The 12330-nt window shown below is 39.6% G+C and overlaps 2 annotated features.

Annotated features, from left to right (window-relative positions):
- Nucleotides 11431-11575: an enhancer, noted in NCBI's record as "145 bp enhancer 251 fragment used in the MPRA reporter construct; PK_construct_1316". NCBI's record gives its function as "activates an SV40 promoter by MPRA in HepG2 cells {active_cell/tissue: HepG2}" and the evidence as "EXISTENCE:reporter gene assay evidence [ECO:0000049][PMID:23512712]".
- Nucleotides 11497-11508: a transcriptional cis regulatory region, noted in NCBI's record as "FOXA motif; enhancer activity is reduced when this motif is scrambled". NCBI's record gives its function as "necessary for full MPRA enhancer 251 activity {active_cell/tissue: HepG2}" and the evidence as "EXISTENCE:site-directed mutagenesis evidence [ECO:0005528][PMID:23512712]".

Here is a 12330-nt window from a genome sequence, read left to right as displayed (position 1 = left end):
TCTCAAAAGAAAAAAAAAATAAAGTGATCTCAGACATTAAGTCTTCTGTGAATTTTAAAGAGTATCTGAAAAGAGCCGGGTGCAGTGGCTCACACCTGTAATCCCAGCACTCTGGGAGGCCGAGGTGGGCAGATCACCTGAGGTCAGGAGTTCAAGATCAGCCTGACCAACATGGTGAAACCCCATCTCTATTAAAAATACAAAATTAGCCGAGCGTGGTGGCACATGCCTGTAATCCCAGCTGCTTGGGAGGCTGAGGCAGGAGAATTGCTTGAACCCAGGAGGTAGAGGTTGCAGTGAGCCAAGATTGTGCCATTGCACTCCAGCCTGGGCAATAAGAGCGAAAACTCCATCTCAAAAAAAAAAGTATCTGAAAAGAGCGATCTGTCTTCAGCTGAGCTCCTAGAGAATTCTGAACTAATGCAGTATCACAGCAATCATTTCCCTCATGCTTTCATGGCCTGTCCCCTGCAGTGGTCATTTTACTAGATTATAACAATTTATCACATCTATCTCTTTATTAGGATACCAGCCTTGAGTCTATGGCTGTGTCTTTTTATCTTTGTGTTCAGGGTCCAGCACATTGCCTGGCACATAGTAAGAATGTGGCACTACGTGTTGAAACTGAATGAAATGGTTAGATGAATGGATGGACAGAGGGACAGGCGGATAACTCGATGGATGCTATGTAGAATAAATAGAGTGGATTAATGTCACCTAAACTACAAATGCTGCCCCGTTATTGAACTTTAGAAGTTCTGACAATGTTTTGAGAACCAAGGTTATGTTTTGACAAAACTAATTTAGTGTTTCGCAAAGCATAATTTTAGAGCCCAAATGACCACATTTGACAGGATTTTGTTAAGCAGGGCTGCATTTTATTTAGGCCAGGCCCTCAAGACTGACAAGTTATATACTTTTTGTTTGTTTGAAGGTCTTTGCAAAAATGTATGACTGCACCAGCTATGGATTCTTTCTGGTTTCTGCTGCCCTGTAACCTCCAACAGAACAACGCTGCTTCCAGGAGGTGCAGTGTCTTCATGGGTTTCCCAGAATCTTTTCGATGTCATAAGAAGGCAACAGATTTCTAAGGAGCACCTGAATTCCTTGAAAATGGCTTTGAACAATATGAGTTTCTTTTCTTTTCTTTTCTTTTTTTTTTTTTTTTTTTGAGACGGGATCTTACTCTGTCGCCCAGGCTGGAGTGCAGTGGTGCGATCTAGGCTCACTGCAAGCTCTGCCTCTCAGCTTCATGCCATTCTCCTGCCTCAACCTCCCTAGTAGCTGGGACTACAGGCAACCGCCACCACACTCGGCTAATTTTTTGTATTTTCAGTAGAGACGGGGTTTCACCGTGTTAGCCAGGATGGTCTTGATCTCCTGACCTTGTGATCCACCCGCCTCAGCCTCCCAAAGTGCTGGGATTACAGGAGTGAGCCACCGCGCCCGGCCATGAGTTTCTTAATTTAATATTTGTTTCTTTAAGGGATCAGGCTGGCAGCAATGTCATGGAGATATCGATGTGCTTCACTGAGAGGAAAATAGTTGTGCTTCTTTGAGGAAGGGGCTTAATTCATAAGGTAGTTCACTAAACTCAATGCAGATCCTCAAACCATATGACTTTGTAAATTTGTCTAAGGATCAAATCATTTGTTCCAATTTAGTGTTTCTGACTTTCTGAGAATAGTATTTCCAAGAACACCCAGGAGAATGCAAAGTATGAATAATCCCATATCTGTCTCTCCTTTTTTAAATTAAAAAAAAAAAGATAATAAAAGACAAATTAAAATATTTGAATTTTATGATTTAACTTCAGCTTACAGATTGATTCATTTGTGGCAAATTATGACTTGAAACATTTAAGAAAATCAACCCCAACTTTAAAGAAGATGGTGCCAGGAAATGGAAGGCAGAATTTAGCTTACTCTTTGGCTTTAGCATCTTTTTCCTGTGCTATCTTTATAAAGGCTGTAAGTAGCAGCTTAGAAATGCTGGAGAGGTTTTTCATTTTTTCGTTCTTTTTTTAAAAGAAGGATTTGGCCAGAAACTTAGTTATTTGCATATAGTAGGATCTTGACATCTCCTGTGCTTTATCTTGTTCACATTGTAAAATGTTGCATATGAACTCTAGGATTTAAGACACATCAGCAGTTGCTGAACACTGCATTGAAAATGTATTCATTCCAAAGTGAATTATCATTGTTGGTGACGTTCTCTTTTCTAAACCTTAAAAAGCTGAAAAATGGTAATACAAACCACATGCTTGCTTCATTCCACCACCATTCTTGGCAGGACGAGAGCTGCCTGGCAACCTTGCCGTCAGCTGGGCCTGTGGTAATCAGGGCAGTATTGCCCTGTAGTTAAATCTAATGCTTTCTTTCTGAGAACCCATCAGTGGATGTTTTTTCTTCTTATCAGACTTCTTAGTAATGTTTGAAAAGGGCTTCTGTGGATGAGGAGAATATGTCCTCATAGAGCGAGCTGCTGAAATAGTGGGGAAAAAAAAAAAGACAATAAAGTATTCTAATGACTCTGCAGAGAAAAAGCCTGCAAGAACTGCCTGCCTGTTGCTTTGGACTTCGGCCCTACAGAGGCGTGGGACCCAGCCTGACTCAGCTGGCTGGGCTCCATTTCTTTCAGAGGCCTTGGGGAGCCTCATTCCCTATGGAAACTCCAACAGCAAGGATCCAGGGTATGGAGTTCAGGGTCTGAAGACTTAAAACACAAGCATGGCCTTATGTGTTTGGCCCTTGAACATTGACAATATTTTAATTCCAACATACTTAGGAGAAAAATATGTATTTGGAGCAACACCAATGATGAAAACATCCCTTTAAGTAAGCCTAATTATAACTGAGATGACACAAATTTGTTATGATAACTGAGCCTGTAAAAACTGAAACTTCCAGGAAAGAAAGATCACTGGAGCAGCCATAGCCACAGGGACAGTCTCTAATGAGACGCAAAAGTCAATAGGAAATTGGAATTCACCAGGCAGAATTTTACTTTATAGCCAAATTACATAAACAAGGACATTATTCAATTCTTCCTATTCCCTGCTAATTAAACAAAATGATGACATATAAAGTGCCTAGTAGAGTTGCTTCACATGACTGGCACTTAAAACATATATGAGTTTGTTCCTCCCTGGTCAAGCAGATTTGCTTTGAGATCCCTCTTCCAAAGGCCCTCTTAGCCAGCTCTTAAAAACACAGCTCTGTGGGGCCTCTTTCTTCCTTCAAGCACCTTCCATTGCTTCATCCTCTTTCCTGAGACCTATAATCACTAAGAAAAAGAATCTCAAAAGGAGTTGATGAATCCAGCCAGTAGCTCCAGCTACTTAATTTGAGTAAGCCCTAAGAAAGTTAAGATCCTTCTGTGATCCTTAACTTCAGGGTCCTAGAACCCAAGACCTTAGATGAACTTTATTCTAAAACAGAGAATATTATTCCCCAAAAGGAGTAAGTAAATTATTCCTAGTTACATAACCAAAGGACAGCCTCATTCTAATCTTATGATTTAGAGAGCAGTGGCCCTCTATGTAAGTTAGTTAGTTAGTTTTACTTTCCACAATGGTTAGAGGTGCTTTGTGAATGGACAAGAAATTATATACATGCCTGGAACTAACCAGATGCACACATTGGAGGTTGTACCATAATGAAAACATACAAATATTTTTAATTTCCATTATAATGGGTAGAAAAGAATTTGGGCTGTACTTAATGTTCTCATTCCAGCCCTTCCTCTCACAGACCCTGAAATACCTAGAAGTTCAGCTACTTAGCAAACTCGCAGGATGGTCACATTCTCTGTCTTCCCCCACTGCACTTCCCTTCAACTAGCCAGTAGGAAGAGTAAACCCTGTCTCAATACTAGTTGTAATAATTCCCTGTGTTTAAGTTTATAGATTTAACTTTCAGGGACATCATTTGCCACTCAAATAATAAATAAAATTGCTTGTATTTGCATATGTTCAAGAGTTTTATACTTGTTTTCTTGCTTGTCACTTCTGTGAAACATGCTGAGATAAATATAGATATTATTGACTTTATTCTAATGATAAGGGGACTGAGATAGAAGTGTAAAAATGTCTCAAGAAAATACATTTCAAGTAGACTGTCACCAGGTGATGGAAGGCAGCTGGATGATATGTTCCTTTTTAACTGAGATTCCTACGTGGCTATAAATGGGCCAAGGTTAATGCATTTTAAAATCCATATCCCATTATTTCAGTTACAGTGAATTTTGAACAATCTTTAAAGAGCATAAATTTGAATTTATCATAAGTACCTTTCTCAGAAATCTGTATTTATTTATCACAATTTAATCTAACCTTGGTCTTCCATCTAAAGATTTAAGCTGTTTTTTTGTTGTTGTTTTGTTTTTGCTCTTGTTGCCCAAGCTGGAGTGCAATGGCACAATCTCAGCTCACTGCAACCTCCGCCGCCCAGGTTCAAGTGATTCTCCTGCCTCAGTCTCCCAAGTAGCTGTGATTAGCACCACCATGCCTGGCTAATTTTTGTTGTTGTTGTTGTTGTTGTTTTGTTGTTGTATTTTTAGTAGAAACGGGCTTTCACCACGTTAGCCAGGCTGGTCTCATACTCCTGACTTCAGGTGATCCACTCGCCTCAGCCTCCCAAAATTCTGGGATTACAGGCATGAGCCACCACGCCCAGCCTAGGCTGCTTTTTAAATCCACACTGTATCCACTGCCTTGAAGCTAGATTCCTCCTAGGCTTATCTCCAGGTGCACCTCTTTTTATCTGCATGTGGTCTCTTTTCTTTTATTAGCTTTCTAGACACAATTAAATACACAGCTTTAATTTCCTTTCTAGCTCCTGTGCATGAGCTGCAAGGGCTCTGTTCTGTCTTGAACTGTGTCTCCCAAGAAGGATGGAGCACAGATTGATCACTTTCATTTAGGGCATCCCTCTATTCTGAGAGCCCCGCCCCATTACCAACCCTCCCCCATCCAAGAATGTTTTCTTGGCATTGTTCTTTTTGGAATATGAGGGAAAGTTTTCCCTCCTTTTCTTGATTCTTTCCTTGATTAGCAGCTGCAAGTTAGGTATGATGACTTTTAACCACAAAACATCTCAGAAGCCTGTTGCTAGCGGTAACACAACATACAATTTTTAAACAACTCTGTCTGATACAAGCTGTTCCAGCCAAAGAGTTCCTCTGAACTGATTTCTAAAATAGGTGATATTCTTCCAGAACAAAACATTTTATGAGAGATTTTTTTCAATGGTGATTTAAGTCATCGCATGACCCATTTATCCTTAAAAGCTCAACTTCTTTCCTGTGGTGCAGTCAATTAAATAATGATTTCTAGCACAACCATACTGTAAGGGTCTCCTGCTACTTCCAAGAAGCTCAAAGAACTTATGTATTTGATATTGGAAATCATCACAGGATCCTTTTTAGGGGAAAGGCTATAGGTAGGTGTATCTGTATAGTTTTGGAGAGAAGCCAATAGATAGTTAAACATTCTTTTTCATGGATTTTAACTTTGTTAAGACTTGTAAATTTATCTTTCTAGAAGATTATGTGTTTACCTTACATTTTCCCTATGTTAAAATCGCATTTGTCTGAAACTCAGTTACTTCTTCCTTTAGTTCCAAACCATGTAAGTAGTTAATTATTTTCCCAAGCTCCACCTATTTACCTTCTTTATATCTTACTAGGCCCATCTCTTCTGGCCTCCTAGAGCTGAACTATACAATTATGTGACCACATGTAGCTATTTAAATTTAAATTGACCGGGTGAGGTGGCTCACGCCTGTAATCCCAACAGTTTAGGAGGTTGAGGCCAGTAGATCGCTTCAGCTCAGGAGTTCAAGACCAGTCTGGGTGACATGGTGAAATCTCATCTCTACAAAAATACAAAAATTAGCCCAGCACGGTGGCACAGGCCTATTGTCCTAGCTCCTTGGGAGGCAGAGGTGGGAGCATGGGAGGCTAAGGTGGGAGGATTGCTTAAGCCCAGGAGATGGAATTTGCAGTAAGCTGAGATCGTGCCACGGCACTCCAGCCTGGGTGACAGAGTGAGACTCTGACTCAAGAAAAAAATTTTTTTAATTACAAATAAACTTGAATTAATTAAAATTAAACTAGGCCGTGTATGGTGGCTCATGCCTGTAATCCCAGCACTCTGGGAGGCCGAGGCGGGCGGATCACAAAGTCAGTAGTTCAAGACCAGCCTGGCCAACATGGTGAAACCCCATCTCTACTGAAAATACAAAATTTAGCTGGGCATGGTGGCAGGTGCCTGTAATCCTTGCTACTGGGGCAGCTGAGCCAGGAGAATGGCTTGAACCCATGGGTGAAGGTTGCAGTGAGCCAAGATCTTGCCACCACACTCCAGCCTGGGTGACAGAGCAAGACTCTGTCTCAAAAAAAAAAAAAAAAAAAATTAAAATTTCAGATTTTCAGTTCACTGGTCACATTTTCAGCGCTATTAGCCATATGTAGCTAGTGACTAGTATGCTGGACAGTGCACACATAGGACATTACCATCATTGCACTGCTGTTGACTGTATGACCCATACATTTCCCGTATCTGTCTTTCCTATGGTATCACAGGGCCTTGAGTGTTAGTAAGAACACTAGAATACTTGTTGAATAAATAATCTATCCAGAAAGATGTCTCACTATTCACAAGATGAGAAGACAAAGAATGGGACTTTAAAAAGAATCCCTCATTGGAAGCAAAGAACAAAAAGGTGAGAGTCTAACTAAAGTAAAATGTGGGTAAGAATAATGGACATAACACAAACACAAGCTTGTGCCTGTTCAGTAACTACAGAGAGATTAACGGTTCACAATGAGTTAGATTTCCATTCCGCACTAAAGTTTATAAAATTTTTACATCTGGCTATTTTATCAAAACTAGCAATTCAAATCACCAATCTAACCAGCGCCTAGCCAGAGGTGAAACAAAAAATATATATATATATCATTGGGACTAAAGAGTTCTCCATTAATTTCTTTATTAATTCAACATTTGCTTGAGTTCAATATGCAAAAGATGAAAGAAAAGAAAGTGCGAGAGATATTATTAAGTCACCCACCACACAAAAACGTATTTATATAAATAAAGGCAGTAGATAATAAAAAAATGCATTTGGCTTACAAGTTTGTTAAAATAACGATTCCCATAGAAACAAAACACATTCTATGATATGAGGCTCAAGGGCAGCCTTCCAATGCCAATGTCAGTCACCCCATAGGTGAGTCAGAACCTTAAGACTGTGTGTACCCCTGATTCTGTGGGCAAATACATTCAAAATTCTAATTCAAGGTGCCTGGATCCTCTCTCAAGAATGCCTCACCTGTATATCCCTGACTGCCTTAACTCTGAATTAGTAATGGGGGTTTTGTGGCCTTGGGCCAAGAGAGCAAGAAGCCCAAGGGGGTAGAAACTGAGATAAGGGGAAGCAGGGAGCCAAGGTGAAAAGGTGGCAGGAGCTCTGGATGAGCAAAGGGTGAGGAGCAGATATAGGGCATCTAGGAGATGCAGAGGTTAAGGGACAATGGTGGGGAAAAGGGCAGTAATGGGAGAATTCCACTTGAATGGTGCCTGTCCAACTGCTGCCCAGCACTGTAATAAAACCCTTAGGCAACTTCTCCGTCTCCCAAGATAAAGAGAAGAGTCCTACTTTGACCTCAAGGCTCATGTGTCTGGCCCTCTCCTGCCTCGGCTGTCACCAAGCTGCCGTTGGCCTCTTCTCTGCTCCCCCGACCATCTTTCTGTCATTCCCTTGCCCCATCCCAACTCAGGCCTCCAAATCTGCTACTTAACCTGGAATTCTCTTCATTTCCTTCTTGAATGATTTTGTTTCCCTTCAACCTTCACCTTTCAGCATTTATCACTTCCTCAGGAAAATCCGCCTTGAACCCTGGATTAAGTTCAATCTCTCTTATTATCTGTACTCATAGCATGTGCTTTTACCTCCTTGCACTTATCAGAGCTGTGATTTTACATCTATTGATGTAATTGTTTGATTAAAGGCTATTTATCCCTCTAAGTCTAGACTGTAAACTCCAGGAGGCCTGTTCCAGGTCTATTTCTGCTCACCAGTGTGTTCTTAATGCCCTGTCTAGTGCATGGCACATAATAGATATTCACTAAATAGATGTGGAGTGAATAAATACATGAATGAAATATGACGGGGGGGTGGTTCTCTCAGGCTCTAGATAAGGTATTTTAGGGGTTAATCCTCCCTGAGCATGGGAGACATGATGTTTATGTGTACATCCAGCCATTCACAAATAAGGAATGACCACAAGTGAGGAAGTCCCTGTATTCATCTGAAAGTTAAAATATTTATGCAACTCAGTGTGTTTTTCCATCCTTTCTCTCCAGCTATCCTCCTTTCCTTTCATATGAGATTTATTCTAAGAGCCTTGGACTGAATTTTTTAGTGTAATTGAGAAGACAGGAGGTTCTGTCCTCCAATAGAACACATACTTCCTCTCCTTAAAACAGAAAAATACTTTAGAAAGCTAAACTGTTCACAGAACACTCGATTTAGAATTGTCAGGGAGAAAAAAAAAAGAATCAAATCAGAAAGTAGCCTCTTTGCCTTACTTTCACGGTTCCAATTAAATAACAGTAGATCAGGAAAATAAATGTGCCTAATTATAAAGTTTGTAGGACCTTGAGGGGTTTCATGACAGGGAGCACTTGTCTTCTTAAATGGGATTTACTCTAATGGGGTTAGCCTCCTAAGAATAGACTTGTATTTGTGCTTTGTGCTTCTTACCCTAAGGGGTTAACACAGAATGTGGGAACTTGTTCAGTACCCACTTCCGTGTGTCCTGCTAAAGTAAAAAAGAATTGCTTATAAGGGCAGAAAATGTCATCATTTTTGCACTTGCCCTGACCCTAGCATCTAAAAATACAAAATGCTGGAGTTTCCATAGCAGGTGACTTTTAAAAAAACGTGAAGAGGGCTAATTGTTTAAGGTCTAAATGTAGTCCATAGAAGAGAACAGAAATAGAGAGGTGTCTCTCTAAATGACCTAGCTTGTATAAAACCAGGCATACAATTCATTTAAAGGACTTTTTGTCTCGGCATTTTTCCTCTAGATTTAAAGAGAAGCATTTCTTTTTCAGCACAATGGATAATAGTGTCATCTTGGCTACCTTCTGTCTATAAGTGGGGTTAATTTTAGCCTGATCCTCATGTTGAGCACATGGAAGAGTTTATATTACTCATCAACCTTTGCTAGAAGCCTAAGATAGCCTTTAAGTCTCGGAAAAAGTAGCTCCTGTTTGAAGAGATTCTCCTGCCACATGCTGAAGTCAGAGAGGGTAGCTGTGAACCTAGAAAAGGCTGCACCTGTTATTGTATACACCATTGCTGCTAACTTTGGCCTTTCCTTTCAGTTTAAATTTTTTCCCTTTGATATATACTCTATTTCTTAGTTTAAATACACATTTCAAAACACTTCCTTCGGGTAATTGAAGTGAAATTGATCATTCTTCAAATGTAAGTTTTTAATTGACTTCCTCCTTCCTGACTAGGAAATTAACTTTCAGTCCTCCCTTATTTGATCTGTTTAACAGGGCATGTAACACCTTCCAGACAGCAAGATTTAATGAGATCCTAAATGCCGAAGACTTCACCTGATAGAGGCTCAACATTCCCACCTAACTTTTAAAGATACAACAATCAAACTTACAACTGAATTCTAGCTGCAAAACATATTGATTGACATCATTGTCCATAATATATTGAAACGGTCAGCTATTGTCTTGCTCCTCTCCGCCAGTTGCAAAGCACTCTTTAAAAATCAATTGCCTTCTCCCTGTGCAGAATTGCCAGAAGTAGATATCTGATGCCTGAGCTGTAAGCATATTTATTCATTTTCAGTCTCATTTCTGTTGTTTATAATGATTTCAATGAAAATTGAAATCTAATGTTTGAACTGAAAGGGATCAATAACATCTGAGAACAACTATGCTCAAAGATTTCACAGCCCTTTCCTTACAAGAGGTTGTTGTTTTTCATGCTGGTTGTTTGCCAAACTGCCACCTGGACAACCAGGTTGGTGACCAAACAGGTGATAATGCTCTCACAGTTTCACAGAAAACGCACCCAGAACTACCATTGCCACACTGCAGTTCCTTGACTTTAAGTGCTTTATAGATTTTTCTGTTGTTCATGTGGTTATAGTCCAACACTATGAAAAACAAGCTCTAGGATCCCAGATCTCAGTCTACAAAGGTAGGTTTTACTTCTCAGAAGGAAACAGATCTCCAAATCCCAGAATGTAGTACAGTTGTGACCTTCGGGGAATTCTACTGCCTACAACAGCTTATTTTCCTAGGAAGGAAACTTCTAGATTTTCTTTGGAGATACTCCTTACCATGGGGAAAATTTTCTGACTGTGACCCCCTAAATGCTTCCATAAAGTAGTCTCAATCAATGACATAAATATATTTGGTGACACTGTACACACACACCCAGTGTGCACATATACTCTGACCTCCACCAAAGATAGAATTTTTCATGGAAATAAGATTTTTCTTAGCGATTGATTTTCCTGGAAGGAATTTAATTAATTAGCATTCTCTTCCTCCAACGTTTGCTTCATTTGCTTTTCTTTCTCTTGCCAACATTCTGTCCTATCACCTGTGTTAAAGACACCGAGATTTACACCCCTGACTTTTTTCTACGTATTTTATCATAATTTCATTATTGTTTTCATTTTCCATATCATATATTCCGTTTGGTTTTTAAATAGGTCTTTTAATATCTTGGAAATAAAGGGTCAGCTGGGCAATAGAAACAGGAGGAAATAGAGCCTTGTCATGTTTGTAAAAAGAAAAGATGAAGCCAGATGAAAATTGCAAGATCTGTTACCTTATTACATCCGTATTTTCCCCTGACCGAGTGTAATACTTTAAACTTTTTTCCTCCCTGGTTCTCATAGAACTGACACATTGCAGGTGCCACAGTTTAGATTTAACAATGAAAAAAAAGTCCATCTCTTTTCTAGTTCAGCAGGAAAGACATCACAAAAGATAGAGTTATCATGAGCTAATTACAGTCCTTGAAAATTACCTTTGTGCTTAGCAAATATGCATTTTTTTTCTTTGCTGGTGATGAAGAAGTTGGCAGTTTAAATAAAAAACACTATTTAAAGTAACAGAGTACAGTTACATAACCTTTTCACATAAATCACACAATAACTCTTTGTGCTTTGAAAAAAAAAAAAAAAGAACCGCAGTGCGTGTTAAGAAGATTTATTTATATAATAATCTATGCAAAGGATTTTTTTTCTCTTTTTATAAAAGTGGGATGTTCTTTTTTTTAAACCTCTGGAAGTTGCAGAATAGAGGGCAGGAATACCCTCCAGTCACTACTTTTAGTAGCACACACTCCAGCTACTAACGACTTCAATTCAAGTAGTGTTTTGGCATTACCACACACTTTTATTTCTAAACACACAGATAGAAAACTTCATAAAGGAACAGTCTCTGCTTATAAGTAAACAAAACTATAGGGTCAAATTCCAATCCAGTATAAAGATTCTTTTGCATCCACAAATTGCATCATGGCCTGAGATCATTTTTCTCTGTTTTGTAGGAATACTATTCCTTCAAGTATGTTTGATCAGTCATGGGGGTGGAGAAATTCATGGGACCATTGAAGCCCTGTAGTTTCTCTACTGATTCTCTATGGAATTCTTTAATCTTTTTTCCCCCTTCCTGTCCATCCCTCTTTTGTTCCTTTTAACCTTATTCCCTGATTTAAATCTAGAAGCAATAGTCTTTCGTTATTTACAACATTGTACCCACCGTTTAAAAACATCCCCCATATAAAATGTCCTGACACCAAATTGATCTTATCACTGACCAGTTCACTCTGAAGGGTTTCAGAATTGAAGAGCCAAGGAAATACGTAAGTTGCTAAATGCTAAGCTTGGCTCAAGCTTACCCACTTAATCCTCAGTCCACAAGATCACTCCGGGAAAAGTGATCTTTTCACAGAGATAAACCTAGTAGAAGCATTTCACTGGTCACATATATCTATTCTGATCCTTGCTGAACAGTGGGGGTTCTCAAGACAGGGCAACCCACAAGGGCTTTCTTGTGTGTCCTTATCTTTCATTGAGATGCTGACCTAACTTTTAAAAGCTATCTCCATGGAAAATTCTGGGCTCCACTCCAAAACCAATCAGTAGGAGGTGGCTCTCTTAATCAGTGGCTGTGTTCCGTCTTTATATAAACAGGTTAAGCCAGCTGCCAGGGCCTCTGTGACCAGTTCCAGCTCACATTACCTTCAGCTGGAAAGATGGGCCTGTACCAAAGCTACA

This window comes from Homo sapiens, chromosome 6, assembly GCF_000001405.40.
Source record: "Homo sapiens chromosome 6, GRCh38.p14 Primary Assembly".
Lineage (NCBI taxonomy): Eukaryota > Metazoa > Chordata > Mammalia > Primates > Hominidae > Homo > Homo sapiens.
This window is presented reverse-complemented; position numbering and strand designations above follow the sequence as displayed.